At 45.5% G+C, this 20,365-nt stretch overlaps 1 protein-coding gene across 6 annotated transcripts in view, besides 1 other annotated feature; it reads left to right on the top strand.

Annotated features, from left to right (window-relative positions):
• The window catches only part of USP7 (ubiquitin specific peptidase 7), a 71,810-nt gene that overhangs the window by 12,171 nt on the left and 39,274 nt on the right, over window positions 1–20,365 (top strand). For 2 of the 6 annotated variants that reach the window (NM_001286457.2, NM_001286458.2), the window contains exon 1: window positions 15,097–15,153. The exons of 2 other annotated variants lie outside the window; for them this stretch is intronic. In NM_001286457.2, the coding sequence (NP_001273386.2) occupies window positions 15,123–15,153 (31 nt within the window). In that variant the 5' untranslated portion in view covers window positions 15,097–15,122. Of the gene's footprint in view, window positions 1–2,081; window positions 2,183–15,096; window positions 15,154–20,365 lie in introns of those variants that run through there. 2 more of the 6 variants (NR_135826.2, XM_047434605.1) reach the window with 2 other exon arrangements.
• Window positions 6,854–7,053: an enhancer, noted in NCBI's record as "active region_10363". NCBI's record gives its function as "activates an Ori minimal core promoter by ATAC-STARR-seq in GM12878 lymphoblastoid cells {active_cell/tissue: GM12878}" and the evidence as "EXISTENCE:reporter gene assay evidence [ECO:0000049][PMID:35858748]".

Below are 20,365 nucleotides of genomic sequence, written 5' to 3'. Positions count from 1 at the left end.
GAGATTTAAATGTGAAAAGGCCTGAGTCTTGTCTGCGAGGGCTCAGGGTGCAGGTGCACAGCGTCTCAGCATACCCAGGTCTCTAGATGTACAGAGTTAGATATTACAGCATTTTAGACCTAAGTATAGCCTCATGCGCTCAGGTCCTCAGTCATCCTCATGCCCACAAGCCCTCTGCATTTACAGATGAGCAAATAGGATATCCAGGGGCTCTCTCCAAGCCTGCAGAGCTCATCACATGAATCCGGCTGGCTCAGGGCGAGGTGGGTGAGCCCCCTGCTCCCCGGGCTGTGTTCTCTGTGGAGCCTTGGCCAGTTGGGGTGGTGTCCTTCCTGTTGCCTAAATCACCTAGTTTCTTTAAGATGACAGCTTTCACAAGGTGGAAGGAAAACTGGGTCAGGGCTACCAGAGGCTCAGGATTCCTTATCTGAGCAGAGGTTGAAGGAAATTAGGTGACTTAAGAGGCCAGATTTTAAAGATTAAATATATATATGATGTACATCTTCATAGGCAACTTTGGAAACAATATTTAGTTTGTAAAGTGACTGTAGCAGTCAAACAGTGGCAAGCCTACAGTTTTAAATACAGAAATCCTTACTTGGTTTGACTTTAAGCCTTGCCTGTTAAGTCACTGATCGAAGAAAGTAGAAATAAACATGGCTTTTTTATCTTAGTTTTCTGCGTGTCGCTGCTGCTCACACAATGCACAAGAGCTGTGAATTCTTGGGACGTTGCATCAGATCAGTTTTTTCAGTCTGTGCACAGATCTTAGCTTGAATGGTTACTTAACTGGTCACCAATTGTACATGAGGTTCTCTTGGGAAAAATAAGACAGGAGGCCCAAGTTCTGGCCCCATTGAACTTGGTCAGGAGTGACTGTGTGCGCAGAAACAAGTGACAAATAGTGCCCGCTCAGATCACTGTCGTGCGCTGGTCAGTGCCTGGGGAAGACATGCATGTAAGCCAGGTGACCCTTGGGTCCCTCGCCAGTGGGATGTGGCCCTGCGGGTGACTGGTTGAGCTTCAGGATGCAGGGCAGCCAGGCACATACAGCTTCTGAATCTTGGACAATTAGCAGTGCCATGTTCGTGGCAGACAGGGCTGGGTTGGTAACTGAGACTGTTGTCTCTGTCAGCGCCCAGTCCTGTGGGAAATGTGCTGCTGAAAGCTCTGTCCCAGCCCAAGTGATCAAAGTCTTCAGTGTTCTCAAGTTGGGGTTAATTGCCTTGGGGTAAGGGGTCTGGAGAGGAAGAATTAGCACCACACATCTGCATTTACTCTTAATGATCAGTATTTCCTTTGGAAATCAGAAGCTGTTATTTAAAATGTAATTCTTTTTTGATGAAATTAAAGGGCTTTTATTTTTCTTAAAATACTGTTTTAATCTTGAGTGTTTATCAGAGAGCACTGGGTCCCATCTTTTTTTTTAGAGCAGAAAATGTCTGTTGTGTCTTCTACTCTGCAAGCCTAGATACCAAGGCTCTGAGTGATAACATTATTTCTAGACCTTCGCTGTCCACTGTGGCAGCCACTAGCCACATGTGGTTGATTAAATTAAATACATAAATATTTGGTTTTTTGGTCTCCATGGCCATATTTCATGTGCTCAATAAGTACATGTGGCTATTTAAATAAAATTAAATTGAATAAGATTAATAATACCAATTCCTCTGTCACAACAGCCATGTTTCAAGCGCTCAGTTGCCACATGCAGCTCCTGGCTTCTATGGTTGGTGGGACAGCACTGCTGTTTAGACAGAGCCTGTGAATGGGGGTTTTCCTTTGCTATTCTAGGGGATAGCAACCGTTAGACCTCCTTGACCAGTATGGTTTAGAATATGGAAAGCCAAGCATTTTCATGTAATAACTTCTTAGAAGGAGCTTCCCCAAGCTCAGCTTAGGGCATACTTGCTGGTAATCACTGCTTCAGGCCCTGGGGGCTTGGAGGGGAAGCAGAGATGAAGTGATAAGGTGTCTCTGCGTAAGGAAAGCCAGCATGGGTTCAGATAGGTCATATGAGCAAATAATGAGGGCAGAAGGTGATGAATGCACAGAGGTGAGCAGATAGGGGCCTGGAAATTGAAGAACAAGATTGCACTCTGAGAGAAGGAAGGCATGGTGAAGAGGTGGTGTTGTGGTGGGCCTTAAAGTAGGCTTAGGACTTGAGCTCGGGGATTTGGAGGTAAGGATGGCAGCGGCAAGGCTTCTGGGTGGATGAAAATAGAAGCACAGGCTGTCCTGGGTATGTCCATTGTATTGGAATTGCCATGTTGTGTTGTGTTACTTTGCTTTTCTTCTCCACTAGACTTTGAGGTTGTAAAGTTCAGGGACTGTGCCCCAGGCATTTTCAATGCCTCGAACAGTAGTTTTTCCCTACATAGTACCCAACAATCAATTGCATTGCATTTTTATGTCTCAGTTTCAATCCCAGTGGAACGTGCCACGATGTTAAATGCCAGTTAACCTTAATTTTACCTGGTTTGGTAACAGTTGTAAAGGATTAGATTTGCATCTGTGCTTTTTGATAAAATTCGGTAACAATCATGATTTTTAAAATAACTTCATTGAGAGATAATTCACATACCACAATTCACCCATTTAAAGTGGGTTCAGTGGTTTTTAGTATTCACAATTGTGTGACTATCAGCATTCAATTCGAGCACATTTTCATCACCACAAAAGGAAATCCTGTACCCATTAGCAGTCACCACTAATCTATGGATTTGCCTATTCTAGACATTTCATAGACTGTGTAAGCTTTTTTTTTTCCCCTTTGGGAGACAAGATCTTGTCACCCAGGCTGGAGTGCCGTGGTTTGATCATAGCTCATTGCAGCCTTAAGCTCCTGGGCCAAAGCCATCCTCTCCCATCAGCCTCCCGAGTAGCTGGAACTGCAGGCACACGCCACCACGCCTGGCTAAGTTTTGTATTTTTTTTCTAGAGACGGGGTTTCGCTGTGTTTTCCATGCTTGTTTTTGGCTGCTTTTATCGTTGTGTTGTCCATGCTTGTTTTTGGCTGCTTTTACTTAGCTTAATATCCTCAAGGTTCATCCACATCGTAGCCAGTAGTCGTTCCCTTTTCTCGCAGAATAATATTCCATCGTGTGGAACTTCACCATGATTTAGCAAAGAGATGTGCAGGTTCTTAGGATTGTGTCATCTGTAATAGGCTTTAGTCAGTATTTTTAAAGGGATTTGAACTTTTTTTGCAGTTAGGAATATGCTTCACTTACTAAGTTGAGTTAACTGGGGGCCAGGTGTGGCAGCTGATACCTGTAATCCCAGCACTTTGGGAGGCCGAGGCCGGTGGATAGCTTGAGCCCAGGGGTTTGAGATCAGCCTGGGCAACATGGTGAAAACTCGTCTCTACAAAAAAATGCCAAAAATTAGTCAGCCATGATGGCGTGTGCTTGTAGTTCCAGCTACTCTGGAGGCTGAGGTGGGAGGATTGCTTGAGCCCAGGAAGTTGAGGCTGCAGTGAGCTGAGATGGTGCCACTCATTCTCCAGCCTGGGCTGGTGGGAGGGAGGAATCAAGGTCAGTTGAGGGTTCCATCAGGGGAGCGGAACTGTGGGAAAGGGATGCAGGGATTTATTAGTGGGATTTTACAGGCCACAGTGGTGGGAGCTCTATTAGCATCTGGGTCTGGTGCTGGAGCTGACTGACGTCTGCAGGGCATGCAGTCTTCGAGAGGTGGTGGGTGGGAGTGGGGAGCCAGGCAGTGCTGCGCTCCAAAGTGCCTGTCACCATGTCCAAGCTTCCAGGGCAGTAATGGAGCCTAAAGACCCTGGAGACAGAGAAATCCCCAGGCATAATGGCATGTGGCAGCTGCTTTACTCCCACCTTCCGAATTGCACACTGAGGGTCTCAAAAGTGGGAGCTGTGCAGGGAGGGGCATGGCATGCCCACCTAGCTGAGGCAGCATGGCACAAACCCATCAGGCAGTCCCACATCTGGAATAGCTAAGTTTTTGATGGCAGGATCCTGTCGAAGTCCTAAAAGACTTCACCCCTTAAAGAGCTTTTGGTGGGTGGGTTATAGCTACTGTTATTTACCATATAGAAATTAAGGCCAACCTTAAATGTTTATTGATTGAAAAATAAGCGCACACCTGTAATCCCAGCATTTTGGGAGGCTGAAGCGGGTGGATCACTTGAGGCCGGAAGTTCGAGACGAGCCTGGGCAACATGGTGAAACCCAGTCTTTTCTAAAAATACAAAAATTAGCTGGGTGTGGTGGTGCATGTCTGTAGTCCAGCTAATCAGGAGGCTGATGTGGGATAGTTGCTTGAACCTGGGAGGTGGAGGTTGCAGTGAGCCGAGATGGCACCACTGTACTTCGGCCTGGGTGATAAGAGTGAGACCCTGTGTGTGTGTGTGTTGGGGGGGGGAGTGCTGTGGAAAAACAATAAACCAGCACATGGTAATGTTGTATAAAAAATAATTATTTTCCAAGTAATGTTGTATAAAAAATAATTATTTTCCAAAAGTGTATTGAGAGGAATGGCATTGCTTTACATTTTTGTAAATTTCTTTATTGTCTGTTGTAATAGAAGACTTCATACCTGCTTGTGCATTCAGTCAGCTGCAGTGTAATTTTAATTAAAATATGAAAAAACCAATCTTACAGAGATATACTGAAAAAAACAGGAGGAATGCTTTAGTAGCCTTTTTGAATGATTGACTATTCTCTGATAACTACAGCAAAGCAAAACAAGTGGTAACTTAATGAAGGTTAATTCACCCCGCCCCATTACCTTAAGTTCGTCATGCACTTTCAGTGGATTTTTTCCAGTTGCATTTATTGGCCGTTTGGAAAATATGGATTCATCAAGTTTTACAGGTCTGCTAAATGTTGATACATTTTATTATACAGTTATATTAAAAAGTTGAGTTTATATGCCCAGACATTGGCGTTGTTGGAAACGCCTGCTGCTGTTTGCTCTGTAGGTGGAGCCTTCTGCGTGCTGGCAGATGGCTGAGTGGTTGAGCGTGAGTGGCTGTGTGGAGGCCGCCTTTGCATCTGCTGGTGTGTGGGGCTGGGGTATAGGCCAGTGACCAGATTATTGGAGGTGTGCCTTTGCCATGCCTGTATGCTCTTCAGAGTGTCAGTTCAGCTATTCTGACTTTTTAGTTGAGTTTTGTCCAGCTGTTGAGTTTTGTGAACTGTTGTTTATATATTTGAGATTTGAGTCTTTGTAAGATACGCGATTTGCAGATATTTTCTGCTGGTCTGTAGCTCGTGTGTATTCACTTAACAGCTTCTTTCTGGAGCATAAGTCTTTCTGGAGCAAAGTTGATCAACAGTTTTTTTCTTTATTTAGAGATGCGGTTTCACCATATTGGCCAGGCTGGTCTTGAACTCCTGGCCACAAGTGATCCTCCTGCCTCAGCCTCTCAAAGTGCTGGGATTACCGGCTTAAGCCACCGCCGCCTGCCATTTTTTTGTTGTTGTTGTGTTTTGTTTTTTTGAACCTTGCTTTTGGTATTATGTCCAAATATTTGCCCTACCCATCATGACAGATGTTTTCCTGTGTTTTCTTACAGTCTTGGGGTTTTACATTTCATTGTGAGCTACCTTTTGTATAAGGTGTGAGGTTTAGGTTGAGAGTCTTGTGGGGGAGGGGCTGTAGAGTCCATTTGTTCCATGACTTTTGTTAGAGACTGTCTTTGTCCGTTGAATTGCTTTTGTACCTTTGTCAAAAATCAAATGGGATCTGTTTCTGGACTCTTCCATTCTCCCCTGTCCGTTCCTTTGCCAGCAGTGCTGTCTTGATTATGGAAGCTTCATAATCAGGTAATGTGATTTCTCAATCAGTGCTGTTGTTTTTTTTAATTTTTACTTTTTTTTTGGAAGTGGGGTCTCGCTATGTTGCCCAGGCTGGTTTCTGACTCCTGGCCTCAAGCAGTCTTCTTGCCTTGGCTTCCTAAAGTGCTGGGATTATAGGGTATGAGCCACCACACCCAGTGGATCTGTGTTATTCAAAATTGTTTTACCTACTCAATCTTTTATTGTTCCATATAAATATTAGAATCAGCTTGTCCTTAGCTATGAAAAATCCTGCTTTTTAATTGGACTGTGTTTAAATGTATGGATTAATTTGGGGAGAACATCTTTACTGTGCTGTCTCCCACTCCATGGGCACGGTATGTCCCCAGTCTCAGTGATTTTCCTCTTATGAATGGCTAGCATTCACAGTACATCACTAGTGCACAGAAATGTTCAAGGTGTCTGTTGGTTTATAGGTTGAACTGTTCCCAAAGCCCCCACTAACCCATGAACAAATAAAACAAGATTTCCTTTGCTACTCTCTGGACAACTAGTCTTCCCAGGAACTTTTTGTTTGTTTGTTTGAGACAGCATCTTGCTGTGTTGCCCAAGCTGGAGTACAGTGGCATGGTCTTGGCTCACTGCAACCTCCACCTCCCAGGTACAAACGATTCTTGTGCCTCAGCCTCCCGAGTAGCTGGGATTACAGGTGTGCACCACCACACCTGGCTATTTTTTTTTTGAAGATGGAATTTCGCTCTTGTTGCCCAGGCTGGAGTGCAGTGGCAGGATCTCGGCTCACTACAACCTCCACCTCCTGAGTAGCTGAGATTACAGGCGCCCGCCACCACACCCAGCTAATTTCTGTATTTTTATTTAGTACAGATGGGGTTTCATCATCTTGGTCAGGCTGGTCTTGAACTCCTGACCTCAGGTCTTTCATCTGCCTTGGTCTCCCAAAGTGCTGGGATTACAGGCGTGAGCCACTGCGCCCGGTCCACCCAGCTAATTTTTGTATTTTTAGTAGAGGCGAGGTTTCGCCATATTGGCCAGGCTGATCTCGAACTCCTGACCTCATTCGATCTGCCCCTCACTTCAGCCTCCCAAGTGCTGGGATCACAGGCATGAGCCACTGTGTCCAGCCGCCAGGAACTTTTCAAAATACCTTTGACGCTAGTTTTTCAAAAGATCTGACAGCCCTTGAATTGCAGGTGTTCCATGAGAGTCTGAGTAGGTCCCCTCTAAAGGGGATTAAAACCTGAATGGTGGTCTGTGTCTCCAGTGGCCTAGAGTAGACTGGCAGCCTGTGACATGGTGCAAAAGAGAAAAAAATAGTTTTCTTTCTGTGCTAGGTTGTTCCCTTTTGTGGTTTTATTCAAATAAAGGAACCTGTTTGAAGTTGGTTATGTTTGACTATTTTTAAAGGACTTACATTAGCACAACCAAGAGTATGTATAAAAATCTCCTTTCTACCTCTGACCTCATCCCCAGTCCCCAAACTGGCTTGTCTTTTCAAATAATTTTTAGGGAAAAACAGACATTTAAGAGAGGAAGCTGCTACTTAGTTGCCAAGGTGTAAATGGACCTTCCAGGCCACAAATAGCCCAGGCAATTCCTTTGTTCCAGGACTCTGGCCTCCTCCTGACTCCAGGCGGGCAGCTGTTGCACCCCCTCTCTCAGCTGCCAAGGGGGTGTCAAGCCTCAGCCAGTATTTTGGCTGTGCTTTTTTTTTTTTGCACCTCTGTTGCTCTGCGTATTTTTGCTTTTGTTTTAAGAGTAATGCATATTCCCGGAAACATTCAAACATGCAAGCAAAAAGGCAAGAAGGAGAGTTTCTGTTCCTCAGAGGGAACTACCATTATATACTTGATGTATTATGGATATTGTCCCAGTTCATCCTTTTTTGTTTGTTTTTAATTTCAGAGACGGGGGTCTCCCTATGTTTGCCCAGGCTGGTCTTGAACTCCTGTATACTGCCTCCCCCGCACCTTATAGTTTTGCTTTAAAACCCAATTATTGTAGAATAAGCAATACAATAAATTTAATAGAGAAATGAAATTTTAAAAACCAAAATGTTTTCCTGTGAAAAATTAAACTTATGTTTAAAGTTGTGCATCAGTGCACGAAGCACTGTTTGTGTTTATCCCCCAGCGTGAATGCTCATTTTCTTGGGGAATGGGTTTTTGTGGTAACATTTCAAAATGAGTGAAAGGACATTCAACATTTTGATTTTAATACATATTGCCTTTGGGAAGGACAGTTGACTCTAGAAAAGTGTGTTCCCGCCAGCCATTCGACTCTACCCATATGCTAGACCTTCAGTACTGGTGGGCATCTCCATTGCTTTTCACCGTTAATCCAGCAGAGGAAGAGTGGTATCCCACGTTAACGAGGGAGGTGGAGCCTGTTGGTTAGTCGTTTGTGTTTCTCATGGCATTGGGGCCCTGCATTCTCGGTGTTGATCCTTTGGCTCTTGTGTGTCACAGATCTCCATCCAGGTAGGGGCATCCCTTGCCCTAACTGCATCTGTGCAGCTCGGTTCCGGCCGTGCGTGCTGCAACTTCTACTTGCATTGTGCTGCACAGTTGAGCAGATAATCCTGTTTCTTTTGCGGAGCAGACTATACATGTAGAAGCAGTACAGGCGTAATTATAAGCTCTTTACTTGTGCTGTATATTAAACCCCTCTCAGTGCACAACACAGCATTAAAACCAATCATCAGTGTTTGGACAGGCACTTTTGGTAGTTAGGATGATCTCTAGGGAACAGATGATTTTTACATAATGAAGCTAAACTGAAAGCTCCAAACAAATAGTTTTATTTAAGGATCACATATTATATGTGGCCTTCTTTGGGGCTTGGTTTTCATATAGCTAATTTACATCAGGATTATTTCAGCATATAGAGCAAAGCGTCAAAGTGGGTCCACTTTGAACACTCAGGCTCCACTGCCTTAAAGCCAGGTGGTCGGCTGACCTCAGGGCCCGCAGTGCCTGAAAAGGTACAGAACTGAAGGCAACCTAGCTTAGTAGGACAGGACTGTCCCCTGGAAATGGCTTTCCAGCCAGCCTAATGAGGGTGCATATGGCCAAATAACTGGAGGGTATAAAATCACAAAGTGGCTGGATGTGGTGGCTCATGTCTGTAACCCCAACACTTTTGGAGGCCGAGCTGGGAGATTGCTTGAGGCCAGGAGTTCAAGACCAGCCTGGACAACATAGTGAGACCCAGTCTCTACAAAAAAATACAGAAACTAGCTGAGTGTGGTGGTGTGCGCCTGTAGTCCCAGCTGCTCAAGAGCTTGAGGTGGGAGGATTGCTTGAGCCTGGGAGGTCATGGCTGCAGTGAGCCATGGTGGCACCACTGCACTCCAGCCTGCCCAACAGAGCGAGACCCTGTCTCAAAAATAAATAAGCCGTAAGCCAAATATTGTTAATAAGACCAGAGGGATTCAGAGTTACTTAGGAGGGCCCCCGTTTTAGAGTACACAGGGATCTACTTTGACAGGCTGGGGTGAGGTGCAGGTGGTCAGACCCTCACAGTGCTGCAGAACAGCAAAGGAGCTTGTCAGGAGACCCCTAGCATGTGATAAGGGTGGGACAGACCCCACTGCTTGATATTTGGCAAGGGCTGGTACCAGGATTCCCATGCTGGGGCTGTCTCAGGTCCGACAGACTCTCCACTGGGCATCCCAGTCACTCCGAGTGTCCCAGTACCTCCCAAGGACATGGATGGCTTCCTGTTCATTGGGTGGAGCACCTGCTGGGAGGGAACATTTTAGAGTGAAGTTAAGAATGCTTATCGTGGCCTTCAAGGCCCTCCATAGCTTTGGCCCTGCCCACCTTCCCCTTCCCACTGCCCTGTTCCTGTTCCTGTTGCGGTTTGCTCTACCTGGACTGCACTTTTCCATCTCTGGCCGGCAGGCTTCTTGCACTCTGTGCTTGCCACAGAATTTGCCACTCTGTGCTTGCCAGTTGTCTCCTCCTTCATGACTAAGGGACATGAACCAGCCCTGTGGCTGTCACTGTGTGCGTTTGCCCTCTATTGCAATGATCACCAAGGGACTTGCCTCCCACTTCCTAGTGAGCACCAGGAGACCAGGAGGCGTGTCCACCCAGTTCCCTGCCGAACCCTGGGCCCAGCCCATCTGTCAGAGACGGAGGCTTGGAAGGGTCAGTGGCTGGCCGGTGGTCTCACACCTGGGGAGAGGCAGGCCTGACTTCACAGCACGCACCACCCAACACAGCTGATCCTGGCTCTGCCCGTCCCCTCACTCCTCACCACACCAACACGGCCTGGTCTTTGTCTTTCCTGGTACCAAGCAAGGCTACAAGGTACTAGAAGGAAGATACTAAGCGAATTGGCAGACTAACTTATTTACACTCTGATGTTGCTATCGTGCGTGGACAAAAAAGCCGAAATGTGTTTTGGCTTAGGACAAGTTACTGGACATGTCGGTTGACCTGCGAGAAGAGGGTGGGCTCTGCTGAAATGCGGCTGGAGATACGTGCCTTTACCCCTCAGGTCCTTCCTGTCTGGAAAAGTAACGTATTAGGCTACAGAATAAGATGTTTTCTTTGTTAAAAAGTTGTTAACCGCAGACTGCAGGATATGTAGGGTATGTCCACCCTTTAGGGGATGCATGAAATCCTAGCTAATGGTAGCAGCTTAGAAAGGTGCTTTCAGGGTTATGTTTGAGCATAGTTAATTTTTCCACTTAGGTTCATGTTCTGGAATTGGCTCCTTCCAAGAGGTTTCAGGTATCCAGTCAGGCACAGAGGGCGTGAGGGCTGGGAAGTAATTTGGTGGTGGGGCGGGGGGTCCTCATGGGCATGGGGCATGGGCCCCATGTGAATTGGGCAGCAGCTCCTTGGCAAACATGGGCAGTGTGGCCTGGCCAGCACCTACCACTTTCCAATCAGTGGCTGGAAGGTGAACCTTGAGTCCCTGAGTGCTGGACGAGAAGAAGGGTCCTGGAGTGGGAGGAGAGAGAATTCTGTCCTGCTATTCCTGACTTTATTGTATCCTATTATGACCTTCACCCCCACTTGATTACCTCCAGGTTCTGGAGACTGTATATATTCCAGGTTCTGGACACTGTATATAAGTGATTCTCCTGCCTCAGCCTCCCAAGTAGCTTGGATTACAGGTGTGCGCCACCATGTCCGGCTAATATTCCAGGGCCCTACCTGAAGCCAGCTTGAGCTTCACCTAGGAGAGGCCTCGCAGAGGGGATTGATCTCACTCCACAGCCTCTGATCTTTCCCACTCCCTGGAAATGTCTAGAAGATGGCGGTCAGGAGCTTCTTAGGGAGTGTGGTAACTCCGTCTTTTTTGGCTGCCACCATCGTCCCTGTTTCTGTGGATGCCTCGGGAGCTTACAGGCTCCCACCTCTCCCTTTCTGATGCAGGGGCCATTGCTGTAACTGCCCCACCTCCCGCCCTGGGTTGCCTGGTCCCAAGGTAACCCCTGCCCTCCCACTCTGATCAACAGCCTTGATGGTGGCGCCCAGCTTCTTGGACATTCCTAGTACACCTTCTGCCTCTCGTTGTGTTCAAGAAGCCGAAGAGTTCTCCTGAGCACTGTGCTGGAGGCTGGTCCTGTGCTGGAGCTCACCAGAGCATTTGGCGGTGTTCTGGTTCTTGGATAACAGTGTTGACATTTGCCATTGGACAAAGCATGGTTAGCTACTTGCAGAGGCCAGATGTGTATATGACCTGGCTGTAGGATGCCTAGACAGGTGACCTGGCTATAGGATGCGTAGATAGGCAGCAGGATGGGAGCCACAGGACAGAGCTGTTTGTGAGAGCATCATTTGGAGTCACAAAAATACAGGAAAAACCTGGATGGAAACAGCCTTTTTTTTTTGGAGACAGAGTCTTGCTGTGTCACCCATGCTGGAGTTCAGTGGCATGATCTCAGCTCACTACAACCTTCGCCTCCCTGGTTCAAGCAATTCTTGTGCCTCAGCCTCCCAAGTAGCTTGGATTACAGGCATGTGCCACCATGCTTGGCTAATTTTTGTATTTTTAGTAGAGTCGGGGTTTCACCGTGTTAGCCAGGATGGTTTCAATCTCCTGACCTCGTGATCTGCCCTCCTTGGCCTCCCAAAGTGCTGTGATTACAGGCGTGAGCCACTGCGCTCGGCCAGAAACAGTCTTCTTTAGGGGAGTGGTTGATAAATCATGACAATGTTTTGGAGTTATTAAACTTACCCACGTAATGTGAATAGTATATGTGTTTTCCTTCATGAGAAAAAGTGCACGAGCAATGTACATGATATGTACATATGAACATTACATTGAGAATGCCTGGAGGTGAAACATTCATGGTTTCCTTCATGTTAGCACTCAGGGAAGGCCAGTTGATTTCTCCTTATCTATGTCTGCATTGTTGCTAGCTAACATTTGCTTGCTTGTGTTTACTTCTTTCAGAACTCAAAAGTAGAAATAAATAGAAACCAGGACCAGTCCAATATTTTCATAGCAGCTTTATTTGTGAATTTCCTCTATCTGGAAAGGACCCAGATGTCAGCAAGTGAATGGTCAAATGGCAGTCCATCCCTGCCATGATATCCTAGAGTACAGGAGAAAGGAACAACTCATTCCACACTGTGTCCATTTATATAGCATTGGTGAAGTGACAAGATCCCAGAGATGCAGAACATATGAGGGTTGCCGGGGATAATGGGGGAGCACGCACGCCGGGGTGGGTGGTCGTAACAGGGCCACTGGAGGGATCCTTGTGGTGTTGGAACTGTTCAGGATCTTAACTGTGGTGGTAGTGGACACACAAATCTACACAGTAAATAAAATTGTAGAGAACTAAATACACGTAAGTACATGTAAATGTGGAGAAATCTTCATTGGGTTGGTGGGTTACATCAGGACCCTGGCTGTTGATACTGCAGGCAGGGTAGTTTTGCAAAGTGGTGCTGTAAGGGGAAACTAGGAAAAGGGTATGGGATCTCTCCCTGTCCCTTGGTATTAATGGTGGATTGGTTCCAGGACCCCTCTCAGGGTGTCAAAATCCACAGATGCTCAAGTCTTCCTCATACAAAACAGTGTAGTATTTGCATATAATCTTCACACATCTTCCTATATAGTTTAAATTATCTCTACGTGGCTTATAATATCTAATACAGTGTAAATGCTATGTAAATAGTTGGTAGACTATTGTTTTGGGAATAATGACACAGAAAAAAATCTGTACATGTTTGGTACAGACTCCCCCGTCCCCCCAATTTTTTTTTTTTTGAGACGGAGTCTTGCTGTGTTACCCAAGCTGGAGTGCAGTGGTGCGATCTCCGCTCACTGCAACTCTGCTTCCCAGGTTCATGCCATTCTCCTGCCTCAGCCTCCGGAGTAGCTGGGACTACAGGTGCCTGCCACCGTGCCCAGCTAAGTTTTTGTATTTTCAGTAGAGACGGCGTTTCACCGTGTTAGCCAGGATGGTCTCGATCTCCTGACCTTGTGATCCACCTGCCTCGGCCTCCTACAGTGCTGGGATTACAGGTGTAAGCCACCGTGCCCGGCCCCCTGAGTGTTTTTGATGTGCGGTTTGTTGAATCCACAGATGTGGAAGACTTGACTGTATTATTTCTTTCTTTCTTTCTTTTTTTTTTTTTGACTGTGTTATTTCTTAAGACTGTGTGTGAATCTACAGTTATCTCAAAGTTTAATCAAGAAAAGTTTAATCAAGTCAGTATAGTATAGTGTAGTAGCAGTCCTACAGGAATCCAGGTTATTTTGGGAATATCCATATTTAAAAGCATATGTAGTCAAAGAACTTCAGCCTTCTCGGAGTGTCGTGCCTGTTTGCTCAGGACTTTTCCATTCTTCCTGCCTAGGGCCTCTTGTGGCAGTGCCTTTGCCAGTCCAGCTGTGACCCTGGTCTGGTGACATAGGGAGGATATTCTGCCCTGCCTTACCCTGGGGCCAGTGACGATTACCTGAGAATTGTACAAGGCCTGGCACATAATAGGGGCTCATTGGAGTTACTGATTCATGAAATACTTAAGCAGATGGTAGTTCCTTCTCACGTGGTCAGTATTTTCTCTCCCCCTCTTGCTCCCACATAGATGCAAGCTCCCCAGACTGGCTACAGGTCTCCTGAGCAATTCTCTTGTCCAGTTGTCTCCTGGCTTCTGTGTGGGAAGTGTTTTGTGTTTCATCTCCCAAACTGCTTTTTTGTCTGCCTTGAATTGCTTGAGAATTTAAGCCATGCTCTATTTAGGTGCATAATGCTGACATTTTTCCCTTTCTGTTTTTTTTGTAGCCTATTTAGAGACAGGGTCTTGCTTTGTTGCCCAGGCTGGAATGGCAGTGGTGCAGCCCTTGCTCACTGCAGCCTTTACGTCCCACCTCAGCCTCCCAAGTGGCTGGGATTACAGGTGTGCACCACCACACCCAACTTATTATTTTTTGAGACAGAGTTTTACTCTGTCACCCAGGCTGGAGTGCAATGGCGTGATCTCAGTTCACTGCAACCTCCGCCTCCTGGGTTCAAGTGATTCTCCTGCCTCAGCCTCCTGAGTAGCTGGGATTACAGGCATGCGCCACCACGTCTGGCTAATTTTTGTATTTTTAGTAGAGATGGGGTTTTGCCATGGCCAGGCTGGTCTCAAACTTCTGGCCTCAGGTGATCCGCCCGCCTCAGCCTCCCAAAGTGTTGGGATTACAGGCGTGAGCCACCCTGCCTGGCCCAGATTGCTTGTCTTATACACGTTGTTTCGTGTTAATCCTTTTTTTTTTAAAAAAAGACAGAGTCTCACTGTGTTGCCCAGGCTAAAGGGATCTTCCTGCCTCAGGGTCCTAAGTGCCTGGGATTACTGATGTGTGGTAAGGTGCCCTGAAATTTTTCACTTACATCAATTATTCCTCCTGCTTGTTAGGCTGAGAGGGCATTGTACTTTGCCTTTTTAAAATTAGCTTTTAATTTTGGAGTAATTCTAGATGTACAGAAAAGTTGCAAAATTATGACAGAGCGCCTGTGTGCCCCCCAGCGACTTTCTCGGGTTGTTAACAATTTATATCACCAGTGTTTGATACAGTGTTTTAAACCAGATTTGTCACAGCCAAGGAACTGGCATTGGTATGTTGTTAACCAAAGTCAGATTCTTTCAGAGTTTCACCAGTTTTTCCATTAATATCCTCTTCTGTTCCTGGACTGCCTTATCTAAATTGAGGTTGCTTGAATGTTTCTGGTCCTAAAGACAAGGCTTCTGTGGGATGCTTTAAAAAATAAAAAAGAATGCTGAGGTAGAGCTCCTAGAGATTCTATGCAGTCACTCTGATGTGGGTGAGAGAACCTCCCCCATCCCCCAGCAGAGGCCACTGCAGAGCCATGCAGAGATGGCTGGGAACCACAGGCTTGGGCTGGAAGGTGAGTCAGGTTTTCAGGTTGAGCTCCTTATGCTGGTGATGGATGGAGATAACCAATACTGACATGTCTCAGCCAAACTTCTGAAGTATATTTGGGGCTATACATCTAGACATTGTATCAGTAAAATTTATATAAAGATCACTGCTTTCTAGTTTACCTCTGTAGCCTCTATTTTAAGTCATATATTTAAATGAGTTCATTGTGGGGAGAGGAGATGAGAGGTCAAGAGAGGACCATGCAGAACCCAGAGGGAGTTCAAGGTGAACTGATGGGGGCGGGGTGAGATGGGCTGTAGGGCGCCATGTGAGCCACCCAGAGACCAGGTGTTGGCCCATGCGTATCTGCCGTAATAACAGCTGTAGTTTTGATCACTAGGTTGTTACTAGTGGAAGGATCTGGGGGGCTGAGTGGAGACACCTGTGGCTCAGAGGCCGAGCTGGGTCTTCATGGACAAGGCACCACCTGGTGGCAGGACATGGACTCTTAGTTTCAACACACCAGGGTTGTATTGTGTTCGCGACCCCCGCCCCCTGCCAGCTTTTTGGGGGAGGATTGATAAATCTTCGTGAAGTGGCAGAAAATATGAAAGCCAGCCAATTGGAATCTTGCTTATTCTGATCTGTTATCTCAGGGGTTAGATTCGCGTGCTGAAGTGGTCTACGTAACTTCCATAGCGATTGGGAGGTGTTCTCTGGTGGGGTAGCAGTTCTGTGTTATGACATCACAAATGGAATTCACGGGGAGGAAAGCTGGGTATAGGCATTAAGTGCCCAGTAGAGCAGGTGGGAATATAGGCCCTGGAACTAGCCAGGGAGCCTACTTGGTGTTTCAAAAACATATTTTCTGCCTTTTCATATACATATTGCGTTAAAAGGCCTAGCAATCACCAATAATGGAGACTGTCTTCTATTTCTGAGTGGGATATGCGTATTATGGGATGGTAATTGCTTTATTTCCTATAGACGTTTTTCATCCAGGGCTTGTCTGTTTGACATTGCACATAGTCACTTGTGTTTGCCAAACATGTCCCCAGTCTTATTTGAGATAATTTTGTGTCAAAAATAGTGCCATAGCCTGGGCATGGTGGCCCACGCCTGTAATCCCAGCACTTTGGGAGGCCGAGGTGCGCAGATCACCTGAGGTCAGGAGTTCGAGACCAGCCTGGCCAACGTGGTGAAACCCCATCTCTACAAAAATACAGACAAATTAGCTGGGCATGATGGCAGGTGCCTGTAATCCCAGCTACTCAGGAGGCTGAGGTGGGAGAATCACTTGAACCCAGGAGGCTCTAACCCAGGAGTTTCCAGTGAGCCGAGGTCACACTATTGCACTCCAGCCTGGGAGACAGAACGAGACTGTCTCAAAAAAAAAAAAAAAAAAATTAGTGCCTTAGCTCAAGTGTTTGGCCAAATCAGTCCCCATGTCTTAAAAACTTCCGAAAAGGTGGCATATAAAACTTGGTATTACATCACTCTTACATGGCAGTAAATGTATGTGCATGCCAATGTTGTACATCTGTCTTGAACAATAAAAGAAGGCAGCCTTATCGTTTAGGCTATTTCTAGAAGTCTAGTACAGATTTCTTGTGTGTGTGGCTATCCTGTGCTTTCATCATTTACTTCTGGACTAGGGATTTACCATGTCTTAATTAAAATTTTAATCCTCTTGCGGAACTAACTCATTTATGAGGAGCTTTTAAAAACGGGATCTCCTGCCCCTGGGAGCTGGGCTGGAATCACCTTGGTGGCTGCTTGGACACCCATAGGGCTGTTGGTGGCCGGGACCCACCCCTTATGTACTCGGTGGCCAACCAGTGGCCCTTTGCCATTTCACAGCCACTGGCCTTGACCACTTTCTCTGCACCTGTCAGGTGGAAAAGGGCAGATTGGCCACACCAACTCAGATGTGTTAATTTGGATGTAAAAGCTGGGGTCTTGCTCAGATTCTGCTGCAACCGCAGACCTCTGCTTGCTTTGCGTTTTCAAGGCCAACTGCAGAGAAGCCCTAACTTCACACTAGAACCATTTCAGAAAATAATAGGCTTTCTTTAGTCATCACACTGCAATTAATCCCACTGCTGAAAAATGGGGGGTAGAGCTTACGCATTTCCCCCACCCCATCCTGTAAGATGTTATGCGCTCTTGAATTGATCTTGGTTTTTATTATTGCTGTAACTTTTGGAGACAATGCAGTCTCTCTCAAGTCACCCAAACAAGCCCTTCTTTGAGCTCTAATCTGAATTCACTTGTGTCTCAGTCTGATTTCACTGCATCTCATGAAACCATAACCTGTACCTCAGAATTACAGAGCAGTTGTAGAGTTCGATTATTTTCCACACTTTAGACTGCTTACACTTACATGTGATCCTGATTTTAGACATGAAGTTTTATGTACAGAAAATGAGCCCTCATTTTTGCATCCATGCATTAAAACCATGTTTTAAAGCTATTGTCGTAGGGTAAGTTTGAACCAAGGAAGTTAAAAGTACTGGGTGTACGTCTAGCAAATTACTTTTAAGATTTATAGGCCAGGCGTGGTGTTTCACGCCTGTAATCTCAGCACTTTTGGGAGGCCAAGACTGGCAGATCACTTGAGGTCATGAGTTTGAGACCAGCCTGGCCAACATGGTGAAACCCTGTCTCTACTAAAAATAAAAAAAATTAGCTGGGCGTGGTGGCACACGGCTGTAATCCTAGCTACTTGGGAGGCTGAGGCAGGAGGATTATTTGAACCCAGGAGATGGAGGCTGCAGTGAGCTGAGATCACACCACTGCACTCCAGCCTGGGAGATAGAGGAAGACTCCATCTCAAAAAAAAAAAAAAAGTTTGTATAGGCCAGGCAGGGTGGCACATGCCTGTAATCCCAGCATTTTGGGAGACTGAGAGGGGTGGATTGCTTGAGTCCAGTTCAAGACCAACCTGGGCAACATTGTAAAATCTTGTCTCTTTGAGGAAAAAAAAATGATAGCGCATACACATAGTGTGAGTGTGTGCATATACAGTGAAGAAACTACATTGCTTCTATGTAACCCTAATCTCTAGTAGGTTCTTCTGTATCCTGCTGTTTCTGTAGACATCTTTTGAATTTTGTAAAGGGAATATGAAATTATATATTTCTATTTCAACACAGGACTCTCCTTTTCTAATAAAGGTAGTATGTGATACATATCGCTTGGTACCTGAATTTTTTTGTTTTTAATAGAGTTGGGAATCTCACTATATTGCCCATGTTGGTCTCGGACTCCTTGACTTATGTGATCGTCCCGTCTTGGCCCCCCACAAGTGCTGGGATTATATAGGCATGAGCCACTGTGCTTGGCTAAATTTTTTTAACATTCTATTGGGAGCTGGGTGCGGTGGCTCATGAGTGATCCCAGCACTTTGAGAGGCCACGGCAGGTGGATCACTTGAGGTCAGGAGTTTGAGACCAGTCTGACCAACATGATGAAACCCTGTCTCTACTAAAAATACAAAATTAGCCAAGCGTGGTGGTACACACCTGTAATCCCAGCCATTTGGGAAATGGAGGCAGGAGAATCGCTGGCACCCCGGAGGCAGAGGTTGCAGTGAGCCGAGATCTCGCCACTGAACTCCAGCCTGGGCAACGAGCGAAACTCCATAAAAAAAAAAAATTCCATTGGAATGTGCCATAATTTATTTAATAGGCCTTCATTGGTTTTTTTTTCCTATTCAGTTAGTACATAAATATATTCTTAAGTTTAAATATACATGTTACTTCTTAAAAATTTTTCATCTTTAAATGTCGCAGATAAGGCACTATCCTGCTTTGTCCATCCCCAGCCCCATTCCCTTCTTGCCTCCTCCACTTTCTAGGGCCAGTCACTGTCCTTGGTTTACAATTTATGAATCTCATAAAACTTTTTAAAGATTTGATGTAGTTCTAAGGAAAATGAATGTGGATGAAAGACATTTCAGAGTACCTGATTTTTCTTTTCTTTCTCTTTTTTAAATTTAGCATGTATATTTGATTTGGAGCATTTGAGCTAGTTAACCAGCAAAAAGACATTTTTCCTTCTCTCCATCCTGTGTCTTGAGTGTACATCTGAGTTCTTTTCCTTAACCCCCTTCCACAGTATTTCTGTCAAGACATGATGGTCTAGGGACTAGTTTAGAAGTATGTGTATATGTTTTCAGAAATAAGCTTTAAAAATAATAATAAATTGAGATGAGGTCTCACTATGTTTCCCTGGCTGGTCTCAAACTCCTGGGCTCAAGCAGTTCTCCCATCTTTGCCTCCCAGAGTGCTAGGATTATAGGCAGTGAGCCACGGGTCGGACCAGAAATAACTTTTAATGCATCATTAATTAAGTGTATTAAGAGACTATCAAGACTGAAATTGATCTTTAATGTCTTAAACGTCTGAGTGGTAATACCTGTTTCTTGGTATTTTGAATGTTTTGAGATGCTTGGGTGGTGGGGAGTACCATTTTATTCAGGAATTATTGGAGAGGTTTATGATGTAATCTAAGCGTTGGGGTTTTGGAGAGTTCTTGGAGGGGGAGGTGAGCATGGCACTGTCCGTGGTGCTGAATCAGATTGCTTGCTGGTTCGGATGGCAGAAAGGCTCTGAAATTGTGAAGGCCACACACACAACTACCTGGCTGTTAAAAAGCACATCTCCTGTATGCAGTTGAGATTCTTAATTTCTGTTGGTGTCCAGTGCACCAGGGAAAGCCGACTGTGTAGGCAACCGTGGGGCCAGCATTAGTTGCAGTGAGCTATTCTAATATGGGGAAAAACAAATTGATTTAAATGGGATGTGTGAACCTAGGTAAAACCTAAAAGTCCTGCTGTGATTATTCTGCTTGTAGAATAACCACCTGTGTGAGTGTGAGAAATTTATGCTTTAAAATTAATGAAAAGTGATTGGAATGTTGTTGTAATTTACACCTTATTTACCAGTGGTAACTTAAAATGTTTTGAATCCGAACTTGAGTTATATGTGTTTTTCAGCCCAAGCATTTAGCATGCATTTAGAGTGGTAAAACAATTTTATCCTTTCCTAAACACTTTCCCGGATCTTTACATAATTATACAGGAATTGTCCACTGACACCTTGAGGGTGATGATTTGATGTTTTAAGACACTGGCATGGGTGGGTGATCCCAGCACTTTGGGAGGCCAAGGCAGGTGGATCACTTGAGGCCAGGAGTTCGAGACCAGTTGACCGACATGGTGAAACCACATCTCT

This window comes from Homo sapiens, chromosome 16 (genome assembly GCF_000001405.40).
Source record: "Homo sapiens chromosome 16, GRCh38.p14 Primary Assembly".
In the NCBI taxonomy this organism is placed as follows: Eukaryota; Metazoa; Chordata; class Mammalia; order Primates; family Hominidae; genus Homo; species Homo sapiens.
The sequence above is the reverse complement of the archived record's forward strand: the minus strand, read 5'-3'. Positions and strand labels throughout refer to the sequence as shown.